The following is a 25527-nucleotide window of genomic DNA, read 5'->3' on the forward strand; positions in this document are numbered from 1 at the left end:
CAAAAGACAACATATCTGAGACAAGAATTCATCAAAGTTAGACTTTGGAATATGACATGACTGTAAAGTAGCCAGACTGATTTTTTATGTCCTAATAATGGAAATTCCTATCACAAATTGAAAATCAGTGTTCACACCTTTAGTATTCCTACAATGGATAAAACAGTCATGTACGCCCAAAGTTTAGCTGTATTTTATTTAGTACTTTCTTGTCAGCATGCTGACAAATACTACAAAAAATGAACAACTTTTCTTTCAATGTTTTGTCTTTTAGGGAAAATAAAACTCTTCTTGCTCTAATAATATCTTGAAATATGGGTTTTAATTTACATAAGCTCTTCATACCTGTTAGAAAAGCCTAGATATTCCTAGTGAATGGAAACATACTATATTCTTCCTAATATCTAAAAATAGTAATACATTATTTGATACATATCTTAAATCAAATTCTTACCAAAAATGCCTTGTGATTACAAACTTGTATTCATACAAAATAATATTTATATAAAAAGTTAAAGACAATCTTAATAATTCTCTTCTTCCTTCCCATATCATTAGCCTTACAGTGAGGCTATTAACTTCACATTATCAGGAAAAGTGTATAAAACTATATTCAATGTCTACGTGATGCAGTAACATTATGCTTAAATTCAAGTAGAGATTCCTGGTTCTTCTTAAGAGGTGATAGTTTATAATCAAATGGCAGAAAGAAAGTGTGACTCCCAACTGAACTCTTTTTAACCTTCTTGAATTCCTAAACACTTCTGCTCAGTAGTCTCCCTTCGCATGCGCACCACTTAACCCTCCAAATACTATGTGGTCCTACTTCAATGCTGTCAGGTTCAAAGGTTTCTCCAAATTTTCCAAACATTTAAAAGTAAATATGTATTGTTACTTTTTTCAAGATGCTAAACAAAGTTTTAAGAAATAATACCATTTTTGATGTGCTATTGTATTAGCCTGTTTTCACCCTGCTATAAAGATACTACCCAAGACTGGGTAATTTATAAAAGAAATAGGTTTAATTGACTCACAGTTCCACATGGCTGGGGAAGCTTCAGGAAACTTACAATCATGGCAGAAGGTGAAAGGGAAGCAGGCACCTTCTTCACGAGGAGGCAGGAGAGAGAAGTAATAGAAGGGAGACTTCCAAACACTTATAAAACTATCAGATCTCGTGAGAACTCACTAACTATCATGAGAACAGCATGGGGAAAACCAATTGCCTGATCAAACACCTCCCTTCCTCGACAGGTGGGGCTTACAAAATTTGAGATGAGATTTGGGTGGGGACACAGAGCCAAACCATATAAGCTATCATTTAGTATTTTCTTTTAGAGTACCCAAAAAAAGATCAGTCCCTTCCCCTCTTGCCTCCACATACCTTCTTCCCACTCAGGCCAGACTGTGACTTAAGAGAGAAATAAATCACTTGTGTGAGCCACTGAGATGTACTATTATTATTTTTTACAATGAGTCAATGCTGAAAAAACAAATAATATGGCAATAAACAACCATAGTGTCTAATTCAAGTACTTTCAACCAGATATTCAGGCTTAGCTGCATATTGGATTCAAGTACTATAGGTTTTTCAAAAAATACCAATATCTGAGTTTTAATCTGAATCAACTGAAACTCTATCTCAATAGGTAAGCCAAATAGCCCTAGTTTTTAAAAGCTCTCTAAGTGAGTCTGATGCATTAGTGAGAGTTAAGAACCGCTGCTAATCGTGGAGCTGCATTAACTCAATCATAGTAAAGGTGGTATCTTTGCAGTGTTGTATCTATTTTATCAAAGCCCATGTAAAGCCTAAAACTGTCCATTTAAAGCAAAAAAAAAAAAAATCCAAATTGAATTCTGGAAACCTTGCTTTAAAATTCCAATAAATATTTCACAATTGCTCCATTTATTCCTCAACTTCAGGCAAATGCTAGCTTTCCCTTAATTAAAATAAATATCTGGTCAGAATAGAAGCTCGTTTTTACCAAGAAACAACTGCCACAACAATGTAAAGACTGACTACAGTTTCATGAGGTGTAAGTTTAACAACACTGAAGACTACTTGGATTCTATTTCAATTCCATAAACTAACGACTTGTTTTTCAAGCAAGCATCAATTTATATTACTGAATATTTAATCACCATACTGCCTGAAAGGTTATTTAAACACAACTTTTCCAGGTGGTATAGGATGAGCAAAAACTGTCACATCAACTGAGTCAATTATTCCGTTCTTAAGTTCAGCAGCCTATTACTAAAGCAGAGTCAAAAGTAAATATCAATCATACTAAAATTTTATATGCATATGCCAAGTGTTCCCATTGTTCAATTCCCACCTATGAGTGAGAACATGTGGTGTTTGGTTTTTTGTCCTTGCGATAGTTTGCTGAGAATGATGGTTTCCAGCTTCATCCGTGCAACAAACCTGCATGTTGTGCACATGTACCCTAGGACTTAAAGTATAATAAAAAAAATACATATAAAAAAACTTTATATGGAGAGCTCCTGAGTTTCTGAGATCAGGCTTATAGACCTGGAACCATGGCAAAAGTTCACAGGAAAAGACAGGGAGAAGAAAATGAATTTTCACTTAGGCTATGATGCTGAAAATATCAATTACTTATTTTCCAACCACAAATTTGTAATTGATAGCTTTATTCTATTTACCACTAAGTTAATTAAAAGTAAATAATAATAGTAATAACTAGCAACAGTAGTAATGCTAAGAGAGCTATTTGCTTCTTGTTTTGTGAGTTTTACATCTACTCCTCTGCAGTCAAGTATACTGATCTGGTTTACTATTTTGCCCTGACTATAATTAAGAGTATTATTTCATCCAGTAATGAAATTTATAACAGCTAATTTTGAAGATCTGCTAAGGTCTGGGTACTGTGTGAGATAGTTTACATATCTTCAATCCATACAACAAACCTTGAATTAAGTAATATTATCATTTTACAAAAGTTAAAAAAGCAGCAGTTTGGGGGGCTCAGGCAGGTGGATTACTTGAGCCCACTAGTTGGAGACCAGCCTGGGCAACATAGCAAGACTCTACAAAAACTACAGAAAGAAATAGCTGGGCGTGGTGGCATGCATCTGCAGTCCCAGCTTCTCCAGAGGCTGAAGTGGGAGGATCGCTTGAGCCACAGGGATGGAGATTGCAGTGAGCCCAGATCGTGCCACTGCACTCCACCCTGGGCAACAGAGTGAGACCCTGTCTCAAAAAAACAAAACAAAACAAAAACCTTGAGGCCTCACCGTAAGATCATTTAAATTTTTAAAGTTGTTTTGAATGTACTGACAACAGGATTTGAACCCTAGAAGTATGACTATTTAGCTTGCTTTCTGACACGGGCCTTATTATTAGTTTTCATATGTGTAAGATCAATGCCTACTAACTGGAATATTCTAGTAAATTTGTGAATGTTCTTCCTAAATAAACTGGGGTTCTTAAAATGAGGATTGAATTAGTTTGATGGATTATAATAATATTTGTTTCCAAATTCTGCTGGGTAGAATCAAGACAGGTTTTTGAAAGTATGTTTCTCAAATTTGAAAAAATGTATGAAATATTTATCTTGGCAATAATAATAGTGATGTGACGACTGAAAAGATTTATGTACAGGTCACTTCTCAAGAGTTAGGAATCCTAAGGCTTCCTCTCAATCAGTACACCAGCTCAGCAGGCGTAGGGTTTGATGTTTGTTTGTTAGCATATTTTGCCATTTAAGATGCATTCAATTTTTAATATAAAATAAGTGAAACATATTATCTCATGCATAATCGTTGGCTAAATTGAATGATTTTAATCAAAAGTAGCTTACAGAAATTATCACTTCGACTATGTCTAACACTTAAAGATTTTGTACATTGTATGAAACTGAAGGAAATGAAGGGAATAAAAGAAAGATTACAAATACAGGATTTTACGGTTTGAAGCAGGAATAGGGAAAGTGTTATCTAGAGGTAATTATTGTTAATCTTTTAAAAACTGGGGAAATAGTTTTTATTTTATTTTTATTTGGTGGAAAAAAGCATAAAAATAATATAATTAACAAAAATGACCTACCACTCAAAATCAACCAAGGGCAAAGTTTAGTTATATCAGATTTCATCTGGCTTTTAAAGGGATATAACTTGTTGCACAGAAAACTCATCCTTTTTAGAATAAAATTCTAAAAATCTTGGAAAATGTATGCAGTCACATAAACATCATTGTAATTGAGAGATAGAACAATTTTTCATAAATTGTCTTGTCCATCTGTAGTCAACCACTTGCCTCACTTCCAACCACTCTTAAGCACTGCTTTGTTTTTTATCTTGATTGCCTTTTGAGAGTGTCACATAAATTGATTGATTGCCTTTAGAGTCTGGCTTCTTTCACTGAGCATGCATTTAAGATTCATCCATGTCCTATGTTATTGAGAGTTTCTTCATTCTTTACTGCTGAGTAGAATTCCATCTATGGCTGCACCAGAGTTCGCCCATTCAGCAGCTGAAGGTCACAGATTATTCCCAATTTTTAATGACAACAGATAAAACCATTATAAACCTGCGCTTAACAGATTTTTGAGTCAACATACATTTTTATTTATCTCGGGTAAATACATAAGGGAGGGCTTGCTGGAACATTTTAAGTGTATTTTTGATTTTATAAAAAACAGCCAAGCCATTTTTCAAAGTGGTTGTACCATTTAGCAGTCCCACAACGATGTTTGAGAATTCCAGCTGTCCACTGTCAGGACTTGGTATTGTCAGGTTTTTTTGGTTTTCTTTGCTTGGATTTTTGTTCTGTTTTCCTTTTTTAAAAAAAACTATTCCCATAGGTGTATTGTGTTATCTCATTGTCAGTTTGATTTGCATTTCTCTACTGACTAATAATATTTTATGTATTTTTATGACTATTTGCCACCTGTATATCTTTCTTAGTGAAGTGTCTATGTAAGTTGTTTGCCCTCTGTTTTCTTGTTAGTGGGTTTTTATTATTCTTTATATATTTAGGATATCAGTCTCTTATCAGGTATATGTTTCGCAAATGATTTCCCCCAGTATACGGTTTGTCATTTCATTTCCTTAATGTGTCACAAAATAAGACACAAAATAAGTGTCTTCCATTTTGATGGATATCAACTTTTTCTTTCAAAACGAGACTTTTTGTGTTTGTCCTAGGAAATATTTGCTTAACATAAGGTCAAAAAGATTTTTTCCTTTGCTTTCTCTTAAAAGCTTTGTAAGTTAATGTTTTACAGTTATGTTTTATATCCATTTTGAGTTAATGTCTTTATAATGTACAAGTTAGGTCAAAGTTCAAGGTTCATTTCTTTATACATGGTGTCTAATTCTTCCAGTATCATTTGTTTAAAATACTTTGCTTTTCTCCACTTAATACTCTATGTATCTTTGTCAAAAATAAGCTGAAATTGTGATGTGGGTTTATCTCTAGAGTTTGTTCTCTATTCCATTAATGTATATATCTATCCTCTCACCAATGCCACACAGTTTTGATTATGATGGCTGTAGAATAAGTCTTAAAATGAATTAGCATGACTTCTCCAATTCTGTTCATTTTTAAAATTGCTTTGGCTATTCTACTTCCTTTGCCTTTCCATATGAATTTGAGAATCAACCTATAAAACTTCTTGGTGGTATTTTTATTGAGGTTGCACTGAATCTATAGATAGGTTTAGAGAGAATTGACAATTTAATATTGAGTCCTCCAATCAATTAATGTGGTGTATCTTTCTATTTAGGTCTTTGTTTTCTTTCATGGCTATTTTGTATTTTTCTGCATAAACGGCATGTACATATTGTGTTCGGTTTATACCTATTTTATATATTTTGGTGCTATTTGTAAATGGTTTTCATTTTTTGTGGGAGTCATAGAACATAACGCAATTTTATTTTGTCAAGTGACTTTTATTGCAGGCTGCATCCCTGGTATCAAGTTAAATAATAAATCAATATAGCACAAGGTGCCTCAAAGATGGGGAGGGGAGAATTTAAAGGACCAAAACGAAGGAGGAAAGCTATGAGGACAGATAATCTATAATCAGATTTTAAAGGACCTCCAACTCTTCAAGTGGCTGTGATTATTGCATAACGTATCAGACAGATACATAGAATGGAAAGTGGCTTAACAAATATTTTAAACAATGCCTTAATTTCATGGTGATAACGCAGTTGCACTGTATTTCTCATGCTTCTTTGGAGCTCTTTATATACCATGCAGAGCTTTCTATTTTGAAGGTCCTGTCTCAGCAGACAAAATTCCATCTCCCTCTGTGATTTTTAAAATGTCCTTTAACAGGTTAAGGAAGTTTACTTCTATTCCTAGTTAAAGAAATTTATCGTGAATGGATGCTAAAACTTTGTCTAATGCTTTTTCTATGTCTATTGTGGTGATTATAAGGTTTTTCTTTTTTAATCTGTTCTTATGGTGAATTACACTAATTAAATTTCAAATGTTAAACCATTTGAAACCATTTCCTTGCTTTCTTAGAATAAAGCCCACTTGGCCTATACATGTTGCATATTGGTTTCAATTTGCTTAAAATTTCCTTGAGGAAGTTTGCATCTATGCTCCTGAGATATATTAGTCTAGAGTGTTATTTTATTTTTGTCTGCTTTTGGCATCAGGGAATGCTGGCTTCATAAAATGGGTTGGGAATGATTTTCGTTATTCTTTCTTTCTGGCAGGTTTTGTGATAGAACTGCTGCTATTATATTTTCCTTAAATGGCGGGTCAGACTCCCCAGGGAAGCATCTGGAGTTTTCTTTGTTGCAAGCTTTACAACTATTAACTCAGTTTATTTAATGCATATAGGAGGACTCCAGTTACCTATTGTGCTCTCTCTGTCTCTCTCTCTCTCTCTCTGTCTCTCTCTCTGTCACACACACACACACACTCACACACACCTGATTTTCTCTAGTTACCAGAGATCAGAGCATTTCTTGATATATTTATTGGACATCCATGATTACTTATTCCATGAAATTATATTGTTCTATTATTGTTTATTTTTATTTATTTATTTATGTATTTATTGAGACGAAGTCTTGCTCTGTCACCCAAGCTAGAAGGCAGTGGCATGATCTCAGCTCACTGCAACCTCTGCCTCCCAGGTTCAAGAGATTCTCCCGCCTCAGCCTTCCGAGTAGCTGGGACTACAGGTGCGTTCCACCACGCCCGGCTAATTTTTTTGTATTTTTAGTAGAGACGAGGTTTCACCGTGTCAGCCAGGATGGTCTTGATCTCCGGACCTTGTGATCTACCCACCTTGGCCTCCCAAAGTGCTGGGATAACAGGCATGAGCCACCGCGCCCAGCCCTCTCCTGTTCTTTTATTTGCTCATTTTCTATTGTATCATTTGTCTTTTTTCTTAGTGATGTATAAGTTATTTATATATTCTTAACACTTAAAAAAATCCAACCTGTTTTTCAATATTTTATTGCTTCATAGAAGTGCTTTACATTTTGATATGGTAAAATTTGTCAGTATTTTTTATTACTACTTTTCCTCTATATTTTTAAAATCCTTCCCTGCCCTAGTGTAATAAAGATACTTTCCTATATTTTTATTGTTTTTTACAATTAGATCTTTATTAGGTAACTCTTATCAGATGCATCTAGAATTTATTTTCATGTGTAGGGTAAGATAGGGATATGTGTGAGGCAGTAAAATAATTTATTCATTGTCTGCATAAACCTGTTGTCCCATCACCATTTTTTGAGTAGGCCTACATTGATTAGTAATTCCTCCCCTATTATATATCAAGGACACAGAAAGCTGAACTATTTTTGACCTATATTGGGTTATAGTCATCTATGTATTTATTTAGTGCTAAACCACAGTTGTAATTACTGTAGTTTAAGAATAAGTCTAGATATTTAGAAGGCTTAATTCTCCCACCTTCTTTTTCTTTTTCAGAATTATGTCAATTTATAGAACATCTCTTTTCCTTACAGAATTTTAGAATCAGTTTGTAGATTCCATGAAAACTTTTTTGAAAATGTTCTTGAAATTGCATTTGAAAATATATGTATATCTATATCTATATATGTACACACACATATTTGAAAGAGATGTGATAATGAGATTGCATATCTGCTAACCAGATCTATCTTATCATGTGTTCACATTTGCTTTCTGCCATTAAAATCTCATATATTTTTGGTAAATTTACTGCTGGGATTAGTATAAAACTTTTTGCTATTGTAAATTAGATTTTAATTACCCTTGTTTTGGTATTGTTGAGATACTGAAATGCTCTTGGTAATACATGTTGACCTATGCCAAGCATTCCTGCTGATCTCTTATTATTTTTAATTCTTGTAGAATGTCTTTATTATATAGACAAGTGCATTGTCTTGATTAATGCCAAATTTGCCTCCATCTTTCCAACCTTTCCACTTATATGTTTTCTTTTCTGATTGCTCTGATTAGGAAAACAAAGTCAGCGCTGAATAGCAATGGCAAGAGTGAGTGTCCTTTTCCTGTACTTGACGTTATTGGGAATGTTTCTAGTGTTTCACCATTAAATATAATGTTACTTACAGTTTTTGCAGGATTTCCCAGATCAGTTTATAACCATTCTATTCTATTCCTAATTTACTTATAATTTTTATCATAAGTTAATGTTAAATTTTATTAAATATGTTTTCTTTCATTTATTTATAATTTTTTTTTCTGAGATGGAGTCTTGCTCTGTCACTAAGGCTGGAGTGCAGTGGTGCAATCTCGGCTCACTGCAACATCCATCTCCCGGTTTTAAGTGATTCTCCTGCCTCAGCCTCCCAAGTAGCTGGGATTACAGGCACGTGCCACCATACCCAGCTAATTTTTGTATTCTTAGTAGAGATAGGGTTTCACCATGTTGACCAGGCTGGTCTCGAACTCTTGACCTTGCGATCTGCCCCCCTCAGCCTCCCAAAGTGCAGGGTCCCAAAGGCATGAGCCACTGCACCTGGCCTACATTTTATTAAATGCATTTTTTATGTTTACTGAGATGATCATATGGTTTTTTTCCTTCAAACATTGAAAATGAAATTTCAGCTCTTTAACCATCCCTCCATTCCAATAAGTGTTATTTGGAAAGAATTATTTTTAGGACACTTTTAGGCCAGGTGTGATGCCTCATGCTTGTAATTCCAGCACTGTGGGAGGTCAAGATGAGAGAATTGCTTGAGGCCAAAAGTTTGAGACCAGCCTGGGCAACATAGTGAGACCCTATCACTATAAAAAAAAATTTTAAATAAGTTGGGTGCAGTGGCTGTGGGTATAGTCCCAGCTACTCAGGAGGCTGAGGCGGAAGGATTGCTTGAGCCCAGAAGAGTCTGCATTCTGCCCACCAGGCTACAGTGAGCTAGTATTGTGCCACTGCCACTCCAGCCTGGGCAACAGAGTGAGACTCCACCTCTACAAACAAGAAAAAGAGACTTTTAAATTTTTGCAGTACTTGACGTATTTACCTCTATTCTTAAACAAAACCTTTCTTATATTTTCCTGTTGTTTATAATCTCCCATGTATCATATTTTTCATCTCCATTGCTGCTAGAATGATCGTTTTAAGTGAACAATTTAAGTATCTTATTTCCCCAGCAAATAGCCAACAGTGCATCTACACACTTACTGCTCAAAAGGCCAACCATCTAACATGTCATGCAAGAGCCCCACCCCCTAATTGAGCTCTTGTTGATCAATGCACATCTCTCACATTTCTATACTCCAGTCAACTGAGCTGCTTACAATTCATTGAATACCTCATGCTTTTTTCATTTCAATATTTTATTCATACTACTCCTCTGGCTAGAAGGCCTTTTCCTTGATTCATAAGTCAGGCAAATCATTTCAAAGTTTTATGGATTAGCTCTAGCCTGTCTCTGAATCCTTTACTGACATTTTAAGAGGAATTTCAACTACTGTCTTCTGCCCATATACACCATATAAAGTTCCACCTCAACATCTGTTATGCCATATAATTCCTACGGTTTTATTATTATACCAAGTACCATATTTTATCTTTCTTTAGAAATGTGTAGCACTAAGCATTCTGTCTAGCAAATAGCAAGTTTAAAAATTACTTGGTGAATGAATTACACAGATAGACTTAGCAAGCTCTGATTTTTAGGACCATCTCTAAGTGTCTTTTGACCAACACCTGGCTCTTAATTCTAGCTTCTTCCTAACAATATCCATAAAAGCTTTAAATGATCAGCTTATTCCTAAGAAAACACATGACTACAGTGTGTATTGGTTTAGAAAAATAACCTCTCATTTGATTGAAGTTTGTCTTAAATTACAAATCTAAAGTTCTCTTTATGATAGATTTAAAAAGAAATTAAGACTTAAAACTTAGTTAAGACAAACTTACTTTTGTACTAAAGTGTGTTTGTGTGTGTGTGTGTGTGTGTGTGTGTGTTTGTCTTTATATTAATTGAATACTTTCTCCTGGTGACTTTGTTAAGCTATTTGACTTATTTTCCCTCATTTATTCATCTCAACAACTCCACGATTATATATTATTTTTATTAGGCCTACAAATAACATAACTAAACTTAGGGATAATAGATCCTTTCTCCAATTTAGTGGATCTAGAAGTTGAGAACAGATGGTTCTAAATCAAAAATTGCCATGAAACTGTCATGAATTTGCCAAGGAAGAATGTTTTGTTTCAGGTTGCTTAGAAATTAATTAATTGAATGATATAAAATTTTATTTCAAATGATGTATAAAGTAAAATAATATAACCTTTTTTCACCCATTAACCTGACTGAAAAAGTCTAAACTTTATAATTCCATAACACCAAAAGAGGTTTTATGTAAGCAGAAATTAGAATTATTTGTTAGTTGTGAAAAGAGAAAAAATCCATTTGTATTTATAAATTATATAGTAGTAGAATTTAATACAAAACAAGATTATCTTCCCAAATCTACCTTTATCTAGAAAAATAAAACAACCATAGCTATCTCCTCTCTAAACAACATTATTGACTACAAAATATCCTGAGTCATTGTTGAAAATGAACTTTTTGTAAATATTTGTTGCCACTATAGCCCACTTCAATGCACTTCTCTTTGTTATTGCTGGCTATGTTTAGCTTAGTAACCTAAGCAATGGCACCCAACAACTTGGCAATTAATCATTTTAAAATTAAAAGATTAAGTCCACTGAAAGCCTAATTATGAAAACTGGACAAAGAAAGAAAGACAGGAGTGCAAATAATTTCAGCTTACTTGTTCAGAAATGAACATTAGACAAGAATGCTTAATCAACTCTATGAAATTGTTGTCCTATGAAAGAACATATTCATTTTCACTAGGAGATGAAACTTTTTGTAGTCATATATTCAAAGACTAAAGAACCTTATTTGAGATGCCCAAAAGATAATAAGTAGGACTTGTTGCTATGACTTCAACAACCAGCATGCAGCTAATCAGCATCCATTGCAGCCACTGAAAAGGAACTGGCTATTTCAGTCCTTAGCTTTACTTCTAAAGATGCAGTGATCAAAACTGAAATTTGACCTAGAAGCTGTCATTGGTCTAAAGATGCATGACAAAAGATTTGGCAAGTGCTAATAAGAATAGGAAAACAACAACCAACAAAGCAGTCAGATTTCTCAAACTTTCAGGATGGTAAAGTGCATCAAAACCAGCCAAGAGCCTAATTGGCAAAGATTATACCCAATGTAGCGTGAGGGGCAGGCTCATTACTCTGATTTGTTGTCAATGTTAAAAGAGTAGATTTTTTTCATACTAAACAGCTAATAAATAAACAGTGAGATACAGCCATTGGGACAGAAGAAGAAAGCCAGGGACAAAGAAAACAGAAGGACTCAACTTGAGCAGAGCAAACAGCTACTTGTACCCCAATTCTGTAGTCTTTGGAGGAATTGGAAGATCATATTAAAGCTATGCCTACCAGTAGAGCAATACTTCTTATACACATTTGCATCTAAAAATTCATCTGCACATAGCACCACATATCAATTAAAGAAGGCTTTACTGAAAAATGAAAAGACATAATTACAAATATCCTATTAGCTTTAAAAAAAATTACTATTCAGAATGCTTTGTTTTAATTATGCTGTATTTTATTTTAATTATGTTGTTTTGAATCAGTCCTTGATGTAAAAGATAAGAGAGAACTGAATGAGTCTTTCAACCCAAGGATAATAGCCTCTTTAAACATTCATCGTTTGAGCTTTAAAAGCCAAGAAAAAGCAAGAAAGGGGAAAAATAGGGGGCAAAAGGGAAGACATGGAAGAGAGCCCCAGAATTATGGAGACCTACAGACAATAATGTGAAATACAAGGTATTACAAGAAAGGGATCTTTCTTCTTTGCCCTTCATCTCAATTAAGTCATACAAGTATTAAAGTATTAAAAATATGAAAATAAATTTTAATAATGCTAAATCATGTGATCTTTTTAAAAAAAAGCTGTTGGTATCCTGCAATTACCAACACTTAACTATACATTTTCTGATAGCTAAAGTTTCTAATTTTTAATTTTATAACTTAGTTTGATCAGTGTAATAGTCCACTATGTTATAATCTATAGTTAAATATGTTAAATTATTTCCTTTATAGTGAATCAGATCTCTTTAGGTCTTTGGGTAAAATTTTATAAATTTCTGATTATATCATGGCAATAAGTGGGAAATAGAATCTTAAAGCCTTGTCTGGAGGTTCTGTTTAGTTAAGGAGTGAAACCAACTGAATAATCATAAATGTTTCTGTCATCTATAAGAGTCATCCTCTTGCATAGCTTCCAACGAAGGCCATGTGGCATAGCAAGAAGTGGTGTAACATCTATCTCTCTGGACAAGTAGATCAACAAAGCAATCCTGAATCACTGGGTTGACAGAAGTCATACCAGATCATCCTCCTACTTAATAACACGGGTTTTGATATACACAGTTATTTATAATTAATTGGAAGTTACCAGAATTGTGAATACTTTTCATTTGTTTGTGCTTGTTCTTGATGACTCCTTCCTCTCTTCAGAATACCAACTTCTCCTAGTTTGTATTCTAACAAATAAAAAGATGTTTTTCCTTCTTATTATCCCACATATTTTCTTCCTTTTTATTACATCTGTAACCAAATCTGCTTGGATCTCCATCACTCCCTGTAGGAAATGCTGCAAAGTCACAAACCATCCAGCTGCTCGTCAAGATACTCATTCAGAAAGCTTCTCTTGATGACTGCAGCCTCCATCGATGTCCTCCATTCCTGACCAGTGGTTTTACCAATGATTATATTTAATCTAGATCTCTGTGTCTTACAGATTTTTAAATAGTTTCCTGTGTGCAAGTTTTTATCTCCAATGAAAGCATAAGTCCTTTAGAATCAGAAATTATACTTACCCTGCATCCTTCGTTACGTCATTATGTGCAGAGCAAGGGTGGGCATGGGATAGACCCTTCAGTAGACCCCTAAGAAATACTTGTTCAATCGAGTCAACACTAAAATAAATTTAAAAGGCTGCTTTTGGGGGTGAAGTAGTTTTTTTTTTTTTTTAACCAGGGAATGGTTGGTGGTCCTACAAACAAAAATTCTCCCACAACAATGATCTTAAGATGATATAATGAGATATGTGAATTATCATTGGAATTTTTAAATATTTGACATTTCTTGAGTTGAGTATCCCTTTACCTGTCAGCTGATTTAAACCAGGATGTATTTATCATATGATGTAAGGGGATTTCTCTTAAGGTAACTGCTGTGAAATGAATGAAATTATTTAATAACACTAATTTTTGTAGGTATTTCTATGCCTTTTTTACCTAAGGAACCAACTACTTACAAATCGTATACTTGTATTAATAGTTGCTCTGCCTTTTTCCTCTTTAGAGAAATTTGCTTTCTTACATACAATTAACAAATAAAATTTCATTCTTCTTTTTAAATCTTTCTTTCTTTCTTTATCTTTCTTTCTTTTTTTTTTTTTTGACGTAATTTCGCTCTTGTAGCCCAGGCTGGAGTGCAGTAGCATGATCTCACTGCAACTTCTGCCTCCTGGGTTCAAACGATTCTCCTGCCTCAGCCTCCCAAGTAGCTGGGATTACAGGTGCCCGCCACCACTCCCAGCTATTTTTTTTTTTTTTTTGTATGCTTAGTAGAAACGGAGTTTCACCATGTTGGCCAGGCTGGTCTCGAACTCCTGACCTCAAGTGATCCACCCGCCTCGGCCTCCCAAAGTACTTGGATTACAGGCATAGCCACTGCGCCTGGCCTAAATCTTGCTTTAGATAGGAAAAAAATATGTAAAACAGTGACAAAATGTATAACCTAGTCAAACATATATCTCAAGTACATCTCTATGAATATTTATCCTTTTATACTATTTAGTAAGAAAACTGAAAAAAAGAATGCAGAAAATTCCCTGAGTATCCAGTGTTGAAGTTCATTATTTGCACTTCAAATCTAGATGGAAATACATAGTTGACTTACGTTAATAAAAACTATCTACTAAATATAATGTGTCTTCAAAATATTTTGAAAGCACAATTCCATTTCAGCACTTTTCTTTTATATATTTATGTATTTTTCTTAATAAAATAACAAACAAAAAATACTATACCCAGAAGGAATAAGCAAACACTGAGTTATATTTTATCAGATATGATCTGTTCCATGCCCTGATATTTCTTTAAAAAAAACACAATATATTTGTTTCGGATGTATAGACTAGGATTTAACCATGATGGTCATTTTTACCTGGAGATAACATTGCCAATGGAGCAAACATCATTTCTAGAACTTGTAAAATGATTCCTTTTAAATGAATCATTTCTAGGACTTGTAAAATGATTCCATCATAACAGCCACACAAAACACTATCTTGCACTCACATATATAAAAACGAAACAAATCAATCAAAATGAAAAAAACAAGAACCCCCTACACACAAACACACATGCACACACACACACACACACACACACACACACAGAGATGTAAATAGCAATCTAAAAGTTTAGAGTTGTTAGCATAAAACATATAAACTTACATGTTAAAATTTATCAACTAGTTCCCTCACTAATTAATAACATATTAATAATATATAATGAGTTACAAGTAATGTGCGTGTAGCCTAAGGAAGTCTCAGATAATTCCTGGTAATATTGTATATTTGGTATTTATTTTGTTTCCATTTTTTTCTTATCCTCACTTAATAAAGGGAAAAAAATATCTAAAGACTTGAAGAAAGAAAAATACCCAAATCTGGTTGAAGCCTTAGGTGTCTTCTCTGTCAGAAAGTCAGGGTTGAAAACACAGAAGAATTACTAACAAGGAAAGATCTGTCAGCTTTGAGAAATGCTGCTATGGGAGCATCATCTTCATAATTTGGTGAGGATGTGGGGCTCAATACAATTGATTGATTGACTAGTTTATAGGCATCTAGAGCTGAGTGAAATCTTACAGGACCAAGGTAGCACAGATCAATAATAGCTGAGTTTTTGGAATAAGAACAATTATCTCCTGACTCCTAGTGTAGTGATTATTTAAGCACAATATGCTTCATCTCTGTTGATTCATTTCACAGTTTGAATATAGGTCATGTATTTATCTATATATTCCTAAATACATGAAGGTATAAATAGTCTCTATAAATAAAATACAAGAAAAATGAACACAATACAGTTTTCAGAACAGATGCATTAACACCAACTTCACGAGACATACTGTATTATATCACAATTTAAAACAGTCAAGAAGCATATCTTATCATTTAAAAAACTCAAATGCCATCAAACATTCTTAGACAGTTTGTTTAACTTTTAAAGTTATATTTAAATAATAAATGTATATCATTAGATCATTTTGTAGTAACTTGCTGAGGGATTCTGCTATTCCACGGCATTTTCAGTGTCTGCCTTTCTCTTAGATCATTCCCCTTCTGAAATCATGAAACAGTTCTTTCCTACCCAACAAAAATCTTTGCTTGACCTTGGACCCGTCCAAATTTCCTCCCACCCTCCCTCCTTTCCTGTTTCCCTCCCCTCTCTCCCTCCCCTCTTTCTTCCTTACTTTTCTTCCTTTCTTTTTTTTTTTTCCTAGTCCTTGTAATCTGGTCTATGAGAGCAGACTTGTATCTTCACTCCTTTATTAAAAATGCTTTGATTTCAATATCTGATATAAATGAAAAAACCCTTAAAACAAAATATATTGTATTCCTTTCTGTTCTTTCTGTTGCACTGAATACTGTAGGTCACTCACTTCTTAAAACTCTTTTTTTTTCTTTGATTCTTCTGAATGTGCACTAACTCTGTCTCATCTACTTTTCAGCTGAAAAGTCCTTCTTGCCTTAATGTTCTAGATCCTTCTTGCCTTAGTGTTTCTTTCACAAGGGCCTTTGGTCTAAGGTTAACTCCCTCCCACAACTGTTTTCTATACCCTGTTCTGAACAGATACACTCATTCCACAGTTTTGCCTTCTTTCCTGTCTCCTGCAATGACCAATATTAAATACATTATACTTTTTAAATTTTGTATTTTTGTATCTTTCTGAGTTAGCAAAGTAGGCAGTCATAGGCAAATAGCTTGATGATAAGAGTATTTGTTGGTTTCTTTGTCAATTATCTAAATGTTGTTGCCTTCAAAGTCTGGACATGACCCCAAATAATGAAGGAAACAATACACATTCACAAATAACTATAATGCAAGGAGGAAGCAGCTGACATACCAGACACAGAGAGACATAAAAGAAAGGTAGACTTTCATCAGACGCAGTATTTACTGAACTCCAGGCATTTGTGCAACTTACTTGTAGCTTTACCAGATTTTCCTAGCAACGTGTACAAATGTAATAATATATGAAATATTTATTATGTTCACATTCCTTTTCCAATTTCCCTTATTTTCTACAAACATCTTTCCAAGATAGAGAGAAAGGAGAGTTTTGAACCTATTGAGGCTGAAGGACCAAAGGGACAGCTAGGTGAAGACAGCTGACAGGCATAGATATGCATTTGAGAGATACATAAATACAAATGACACTGAAGCTATGAGACAGGAGGTTATTAGTAACTTTCAGGGGAGGGGTTTCAGTGAACTCTGGAGAACATCACCCAAGAAGGCTGATTAGTGACTGATGAAAAAGAAGAGACAGCAACTATAGAAACTTAGTAAGTTTAGTAGTGAAATGAAACAGAAATGTAATAGTAATTCCAAGAGGTAGCTCTTGGTAATATTAGGACCAGGATTAGAAAATAAAAATAGTGCAGGCATGCCTTAGAGGTATTTGGGGTTGCATTCTAAACAACTGCAATAAAGCCAACATCACAATAAAGCAAGTCACATGAATTTTTTGATTTCCCAGTGCATATAAAAGTTATGTTTACACTATGCTAAATTCTATAAAGTGTGCAATAGCATTATGTCTAAAAAAAACCCAATGTATATACCTTAATTTTAAAATACTTTATTGCTAGAAAAATGCTTATAATAATCTGAGCCTTCAGCAAGTCATAATCTTTTTGCTGGTGGAGGGCCTTGCCTCCCTGTTGACGGCTGCTGACTGATCAGGGTGGTGGTTGCTGAAGGTGGTTGGGCAATTTCTTACAATAAGATAATGAATTGCATTTGTCTTATTTTAAGGCAATATAATTGCTGCATCAACTGACTCTTCCTTTCATGAAAGATTTCTCTGTAGCATGTGATGCTGTTGGTTAGCATTTTACTCATAGTAGAACTTTCAAAATTGGAGTAAATCCTACCGCTGCTTTATCAACTAAGTTTATGTAATACTCTAGAACCTTTGTTGTCATTTCAACAATATCACTGCATCTTTACCAGAAGTAAATTCCATTTTAAGGAACCACTTTCATTATTCATCCATAGAAAGCAACTTCTCATCCATTCAAGTTTCATCATGACATTGCAGCAATTCAGTCACATCTTCAGGCTCCACTTCTAATTCTAGTTCTCTTGCTATTTCTACCACATCTGCAGTTACTTCCTCCACTGAAGGCTTGAGCCCCTCAAGGTTATCCATGAAGACTGGAATCAATCTATTCCAAACTCCTATTAATACTGATATTTGATCTCCTCCTATGAATCGTGAATGTTCTTAAGGGCATCTAGAATGGTAAATTCTTTCCAGAAGGTTTTCAATTGACTTTGTCCAGATCCATTAGAGGAATCACTATGTATGGCAGCTATTGCCTTGTGAGATATAGTTCTTAAATAATAAGACTTGGAAGTGGAAATTGCTGCTTGATCCTTTCAATTTGTAAAAAAAAAAAAAAAAAAAAAAAGCACAGTATCTACGAAGCACAATACAGTGAAGTGCAACAAGACAGGGTACGCCTGTATATTAGCGATTAGCGATACAAGTGAAGGAATAACAGCTGTAATGAGTGGCTAAGTCAGCTTGAAAGAAAGGCATTCTGGAGTCAGTTTTTCTCGTTGCATGCCCCAGACTTCCTGCCTCATCATCAGTCGGATTACATGTTAAAATTGCAGGTCCAGCTCTCAAGCCCAAGCCTTCTGAATCTGAGTCTTGGGAGTTGGGACCCAGGAATCAGTATTTAATATATGCTTTAAGGTATTTTAGCTAGGCAATAAAATTAGAGGTTCTACAATAAGAAAGTTTATACAACTAGCAAGAGATATTTATTTTGTTATTACTGTATATTATTTAAGCATACCTTATATATCTTAAAATAAATAGCGAATATCTTAAACTGAAAAAGAATTTGTTTTATCATACTGCTTTCTAGAATTAACGCATTATTCCATTATTCTGGTTATGTCGTTCATACAGGTCAAGGCTTCATTTCTCATTGGGATGTGGCTTTGTTTGCTTGCTATAGCATGGATAGTGAGCATTGAGTACACAGCTTTGCAGTATTTACCCTTGTCTCCTCACCTCTTGTCAAACAGTTGAAAATAGAATGACCTCAACTTAAATAAGCTGAAACACAATAATGAGCTAATATTTTTTAAGGCCTCTAAAATTTCTAGGTTGAAACTAACTCTGTCCTGGAGTTTCAACCCATCTCATTTACCCTAATTTTTCTTTGTTTTTCAAATGTCTGGGAGAAAGGCCTCGATTTTTTGTAATCACAGAGACAGCTCTAACTTTGCCAGATAAAAGTATTAATAATAAAAGGAGATTTACATGAAGAGTTTTGTTAAGTGGAACCTTAGTTAAATACATCTCTTCAAAAGAAAAGTATGGTGAAACCCCTAGTGACACTATACCAATTCAAATTTTGTACTTTGTAAAGCTAACACATTCTTGAAAAATAAAGCAAGCTCCTAAACAGTTCACTACAAAGCATCTAGTTGATTGTGACAAGAGGATATTGAGCAAAGGATTTATGCTAATTGACCTACATTCCAGTTTATGACCAACTCCACTCTAAATAAAATGAACAGTACCCTACAATAGCCTTAGAAACTTCAGACTCAAGGGAAAATAAGGAAGATTAGCTGATTTTATTTGAAACTATTTTGAGTGGAGCTTATCCCAGTATTCTACCAACACATTTCCACCCAGGCATGAATTTCCACACTCAAATGTTTTGCTGTGAAATTTTAGTGTGACTGTTTAGATTTCTTCATGTTTCTAATTAAAAATTTAGTCTTTAATCATGTTTTTCTCAGGACTTGTGCTGAGTTTTCAGTTGTAAACCCAATGTGAAGCACACTTAACAAGACAGCTCTTTTAGGAATTAGATCAATTAGTCGGCTACCCTCAATTTCTCCTTTCCTCGTATGAGCTGGCTGCTCCTCACATCAAGGAAAAGCGATGTCCTGGGATTTCTGATGCTAGATCATAAGAATCTTTGCAGCTTCTGCTTGGGTTTTTTGGAACATTCATTCTTGGGATGCTGCCTCTTGAAACCTAGCCACCATTTTGTGGAAAACCCAAGCCACTTCAGGACAGCCCGAGATAAACTCGTAGTCAACAGCTGGCATCAACTGCCAGCTATATATATGTGAGCTCTCTTGGACGACCAGTCCAATCCTGTCTTCAGATGGCTGAATCCCCTGCTGTCATCAGGCTTCCAAGGCAGGAGACTTCAAATGAGGATTGCTCAGCAGACAGTCAGCCCTCAGAACCGTGAATGAAAATAATAAATTGTTGTTTTAATCCACTAGTTTGGGAGATCATTTTATGCAGCAATAAATGCTTAGAACATGACTTTTATCTTCTTCCGCTGAGGTTGGGACTCTTATCAGACTTTGTGATTTTCTAAGGAAAATAACACACTAGAAGCCAAATGATCAAAAGTATTATCCAGTACTCTAGCATCATAAAAGTGTTCTTGATTTGCTTAATGGAAATAGCTTAATCTTATCTTCTTTACATGTTTTTTTTTTCTCTAATAGTTACTGGATCAAGAGCTGAGCTACATAAATTTATAGAACCTTGCCCAACCTTCTCATCAAACAAATGAGGAAACAGGATCCCAGAGATTTATAGGACCCATTCAAAGGCATAAGGGATTATCATCTGCTTCTCCTATTTCAAACCTTGGCTCTTGTACCTTGTTCATAACTGTCTCGAGGGTGTCATAGTTTTCCTGAAAAAAAAGGTATGAGCTCAAGACAATACTGTGTGTCATTATTTTTTGTCTAAATTTGCAAACAATTTTACAGATACTTAACCAACTCCATTGTTACTCAAATTGAGTAAGAGCAAAATATTTCCATTGGATATTTTTCTCTTGTCAAAATGTGTATACTCTTAAATCTAATGTGGAATGTTTAAGTTGTCACATTTCACTGTTCTTATGTTGGGGCATTTAGTACGTATCATGCAGTTGGCATCCTTCTTCAATCAAACAGGATTTATCCTTTCCCTCCCTGTCCCTCAACCAGTACTCCTTATACTCACACTTTCAAATAGATAATTCATTTCATGGGTTTTCCTCTCACTAAAGGTTGGTAACCCTTTCATCTTTGTTTTCCTTTTTGTTCCTGTGTTCTGATTAAATTCTCATTATGTGTTCCTAACATACTAAATATTTGTGTTTAGATGTCTTGCTATTACCTCTTTTTTTTTTTCCTTTTTGTTTGAGACTGAGTCTCTCTCTGTTGTCCAGGCTGGAGTGTAGTGGCATGATCTCGGCTCACTGCAACCTCTGCCTCATGGGTTCAAGCGATTCTCGTGCTTCAGCTTCCCGAGTAGCTGGGATTACAGGCGTGTGCCACCACACCCGGCTACTGTTTGTAATTTTAGTAGAGACGGTCTCACTATGTTGCTCAGGTTGGTCTCAAACACCTGGCTTCAACTGATCCACCCAGCTCGTCCTGCCTCTCAAAGTGCTGAGATTACAGGCGTGAGCCACCGCACCCGGCCTTGCTATCACTTCTTAATAACATTTCAAATATGAAATTAATTTCTTGTCCAAAACATGCAGAAAGTAAACCATTGGGTTTATCCTTTAAATATTCTATCAAGGAACCCACTGCTTCCCCAGTCTTCAAGATTTCAAATTTCTAGACAAAATCTTCTATTCATTCTCTTATTGCTCCATTTCCTAATTTTATAGATTTTTCACTTGACCTATCTCTCATCAATCTTTTGCTCTCCGGTTCCACTGGCTTAGACATGTATCATATTCTATTATTATCATATCATATATATCATATAATATTATTCCCAAACTGGTTTAGGCATATATCATATTATCCCAGGATTACTGTGACAACTGGATCTGTCTTCTCCAACTAATTCTGTTTTAAACAACATTTTCACTAATCTCATTATGTCTTCCCTGCTCAAAAACCTTCCATGACACCCTACCTCCTATCATTGCTTTTAAAAGCTCTCCAAAATCAAATCCCATCCTGTCAATCCAGCTCCATGTCTTACTGTTCCCCAAACACACCTCCTTACTGCCATGAGAAGGAGCTCCTTATTCTACCTAGAACCACTTCCTTTCCAAATGTTTCACATTCCTCCAAGACAGGTTCAGTACCACTCCCATTAAACTTTTCATAATATCTGTCAAACTAAATCATATTCAACATCATTTTTAAACAAAACAGTAATCAATGGTCTCATAGTGATATACATGTAGTCTCATAGTGATATACATGTAGTCAAGTAGAACAGTAAGTGTTGTGTTCAGGAGAAAATGTAAAAATATTCCTGACCTATCTTTCCAATGGGGCCTGAAATTCCACAATTAGAGATTCGCAGGTTAAAGTTCATCTTAAAGTTAAAATGTAAATACTCTTAGCAATGTGTTAGCCCTGCAGTTTTTTTAGTATCAACTATTTTGTTGCATCCTTTCTGCAGAGTGAAATTTTGCAGTGGAGGGATAGCCCTGCTGCATACCTAGAGAAGCCGAGGACATCAATGAGGAAATCAAACAATAAAAGGAAGAGATGCCAAAATTGCAATTTGCCTACTTTGCAAATAACTTTTTTTTTTTTTTACAATCAGCCTTGTGCATTATGGATATGAAGGACTATAAATTATTCAGAATGTTTGATTAACCAATTACTCTCATTCTTCCACAGTGCTAGAGTTCAGATTTCTTCTTCTAAGACAAATGAGAATTGATTGCTACATTCATCCCCAGAACACTATCTTCCTTTCTTTAAGTGATAAATTTTGGTTTTCATGATACCAGGAAAAAAACAAAAACAAAACAAAACAAAAAAACTGGATTCCATTTGTTGGCGCAATCCAGCATTCTCCTACGCTGTTTTTCCCTCTTATCCTAGCCATTTGGACTCTAATGCTAAACTCCCTACCATCCCTACTACCACTAAATAGAAGAGGTTCTGAGTAGTGAAGTTTTATTTTTCATAAGTAAATTAAAAGAAAGAGGAGAGATATGGCCTTAAGTGGCCAAATGTTTTCTATTTCCCCTATGCACTTCCTTCCTGCTTTCCCCACTTTGCCCCTCTTATTGGCTCTTCCTAGTCTCTGGACTGCATACTTGAATCTCTGTCCTGAGTTCTGGCTTCATGCTGTCACTCTCCCCTGCTACAGGCCTGCTCTTTTCTCTATTTCGCTCACCTCTGGCTTCCTCACTTGCTTCCTCTACTTCCATCTAAAGAGAGTTCAGGAATATTTTTAATCTGTCCTACTAGGCCCCTGACTACGTAAGTTTTTGGTGACCTCAATTACAACAGGAAAAATGTTATCCACTTCTGGCAGTAGAAGGAACAAACAAATTTTAGGTATCTGTCAGATTACAGACAGGAAAGAGAACTTCTAAGAGTTACAGACCAAGCTTTGGATCCTGACAACTCAGCTGTTAACTCCACACCATCCCCCACAACAAAATCTTCCTATAATTAGGGATGATTGTTAATTATCCATGGGCATTGAAGCAAAATCCAGGACAAATTGTTTTCACTATAGTAAGGAAATGGAAATTAAAAATAATTAAGTTTGAAATTATGAATACCTTACCTTTGATAGCCAGTCCTCTCGAGCTTGAGGTTACAAGGGTAAATTATGTAATTCTTTCTAGACATTTTATTATGTTGGATCCAAATGGCATTTTAATGCTTTTAATACAGCTAATGAATAGACTACATCAAGTCAATTATTTTGACTTTCCATTTCTGACAGCTTTTCTCCTGTGTGAGCATAGAAACAAGAGTTTATAGGCTCAAGTGGTCAAGTAGAACAGCAAGTGTTGGGTTTAGGAGAAAAATTTAAAATATTCCGGACCTGTCTTTCCAATGGAACACAACACTTAACAACCAAATAAAAAAAAGAGCCTGAAATACTCTCTGCCACACTTGGGAAAATGTTTTATCTTTCTTTTTTAACCTGAAAATACTCCTTCCTTTTCAGAAAACATTTAAAGACAGTCCTTCTTAAGACCATTTCCAACACTGTTTATACAAAGGCCCTAAAAATGGGTCCTTCTAAGACACTTCCAGGGGTCAAGCAAGAAGAGACTATGAAAGTCTTGATCACAGCTAACATTCATAGGCAAAAATGTCCTCAGCTTTCTCTTTTTTCCTTTCTTCCAAGTTGGCTACTGTCTATAAACTCCAGAAATTAGTAGTCAAAGCATCCCCTAACCCTTGAGCCTGTGGGAATACAGGAATTTCAACCCGAGCACGTCAGTCCCCAAGGCCTCCTTTACTCTTGGAGAAATCCCTCACAACAAAGGACAAGGGAGAAGCAAGGGGGAGGGGCGCCCAGTGGACTTGGCTGGAAGAAGTGAGCGGGCTGGGGTTGGAAGAGTAACTCGGGCTGCGGGCTGAACGCAGTCGGCAACCGCGGAAGAGCAGCATCTCCCCTGCGCCTGTGGATACGCCAGTCCAGGGATGGCGAGTGCTTTCTCCTCCCCAGCTTCTCCCTCGCTCTTCGAGGTGACTCGTGGGACCCTGCGTCCTAGTGCTGGGTGTGAATCGGCTATTTCACACCCAGTTCTTCCTCCCCTCCGCCACACGCAGTCACATTCCTGGAGCTATTCCAAGCTGCCTCCGCTAAGCACCGAATAAGCGGACCCTGCCTGGAAACTTGAGCGAAGCTGAACTGCGCCGAACTCCACCGTCCAGTGACCCGAGCCAGTGTGGACGCCCTTTTAATCACGCTGTTTACCCAGGTGGAATTTAGGAAGAATCAGCCTTCAGCCTCAACCTCAAACCTTTTGTGCAAATGGGCACTTCGTTTGGAAAGGGACTAGAAATTGTCCCCAGTCTGGCCCTGCACCAGCACCTTCCTCTGCTCAAACCTGTACAAAGTGGAAGTTTTAGGAAGTTTCCATTTCTCGTGCCCCGTTTCAACTTGCTCCCCAAAGAGAACATGAAAACGTGGGAACTCGGGAGGACAGAGATCTCCCTGTAATCGCCTCGCTATTCGGATCCTGGGTCTCTTAGTCTTTCTTTATTTCCCAAATACCGCCCCCAGCACGGTAGACCGGACCCCCAGGCTTGGGTCCTGGGGCCGGCGCAGAGGATCAGCGCCCAAGCGCAGCCCCCCACCCTCCCGACCCACTGTAAACAGTCGGGCACCCTCCCTCGCCTCCAGGTGCCACCCCATCGCCATCGCCTCTCTCCCAGAAAAAAAAGTCCGGAGACAAGAGGGCGGGGGGCGGGGGACGCCAGGCGCGGGGGGAACAGAGCTGGGAAGGACGCAGTCTGAGGCCGAGGAACATTCATTTTCTTTCTATAATGCCCATTCCCGAGGCCGAGCCTTTGGGCGAGGTGTACGCGCCCGCCCGCGCACTCACCCATGGCCCGAGGTCCTGCTTCTCTGCAGTCCCCAGAGGAGAGCGAGTGACCAGACGCTGCGCGGGGCCAAGTTCTCCAAGCCGCGCTGAGGCTCCTCGCGCCCTGGCAAGTGACAGCCTCGCCCCTCCCAGCGGAGACAACTCGCAGGGCGCCTGGCGACTCTGCGGGCGCACAGACCCCTCCCTCTTTCCACCTGCCTCCTCTGCGAGAAGCCCGTTTTCCTCCCCTTCACTGTGGGTCTCCTCCCCAGAGGCCCCCACCCTGCCCCCTTTCACTTTCATTAGAGACACGTGCAAAGTCTCTCTCCTAAATACATTGAATGCACATTACAGACACACACGTTGTCTCAGCAC

General features: G+C 36.3%; 1 protein-coding gene across 4 annotated transcripts in view; it reads right to left on the reverse strand.

The window, feature by feature from the left end:
* GPM6A (glycoprotein M6A) overlaps nt 1–25258 on the reverse strand; it is a 369457-nt gene extending 344199 nt beyond the window's left edge. For all 4 annotated transcript variants that reach the window (NR_048571.2, NM_001261447.2, NM_201592.3 and 1 more), the window contains exon 1: nt 25174–25258. Coding sequence is in view for 1 of the 4 variants with exons in the window: in NM_201592.3 (NP_963886.1) it covers nt 25174–25177 (4 nt within the window). In the remaining 3 variants the exon portion in view is untranslated. The remainder of the gene's footprint in view (nt 1–25173) is intronic.
* Between the last annotated feature and the right edge of the window lie 269 nt (nt 25259–25527).

This window comes from Homo sapiens, chromosome 4 (assembly GCF_000001405.40).
Source record: "Homo sapiens chromosome 4, GRCh38.p14 Primary Assembly".
Taxonomy (NCBI): domain Eukaryota; kingdom Metazoa; phylum Chordata; class Mammalia; order Primates; family Hominidae; genus Homo; species Homo sapiens.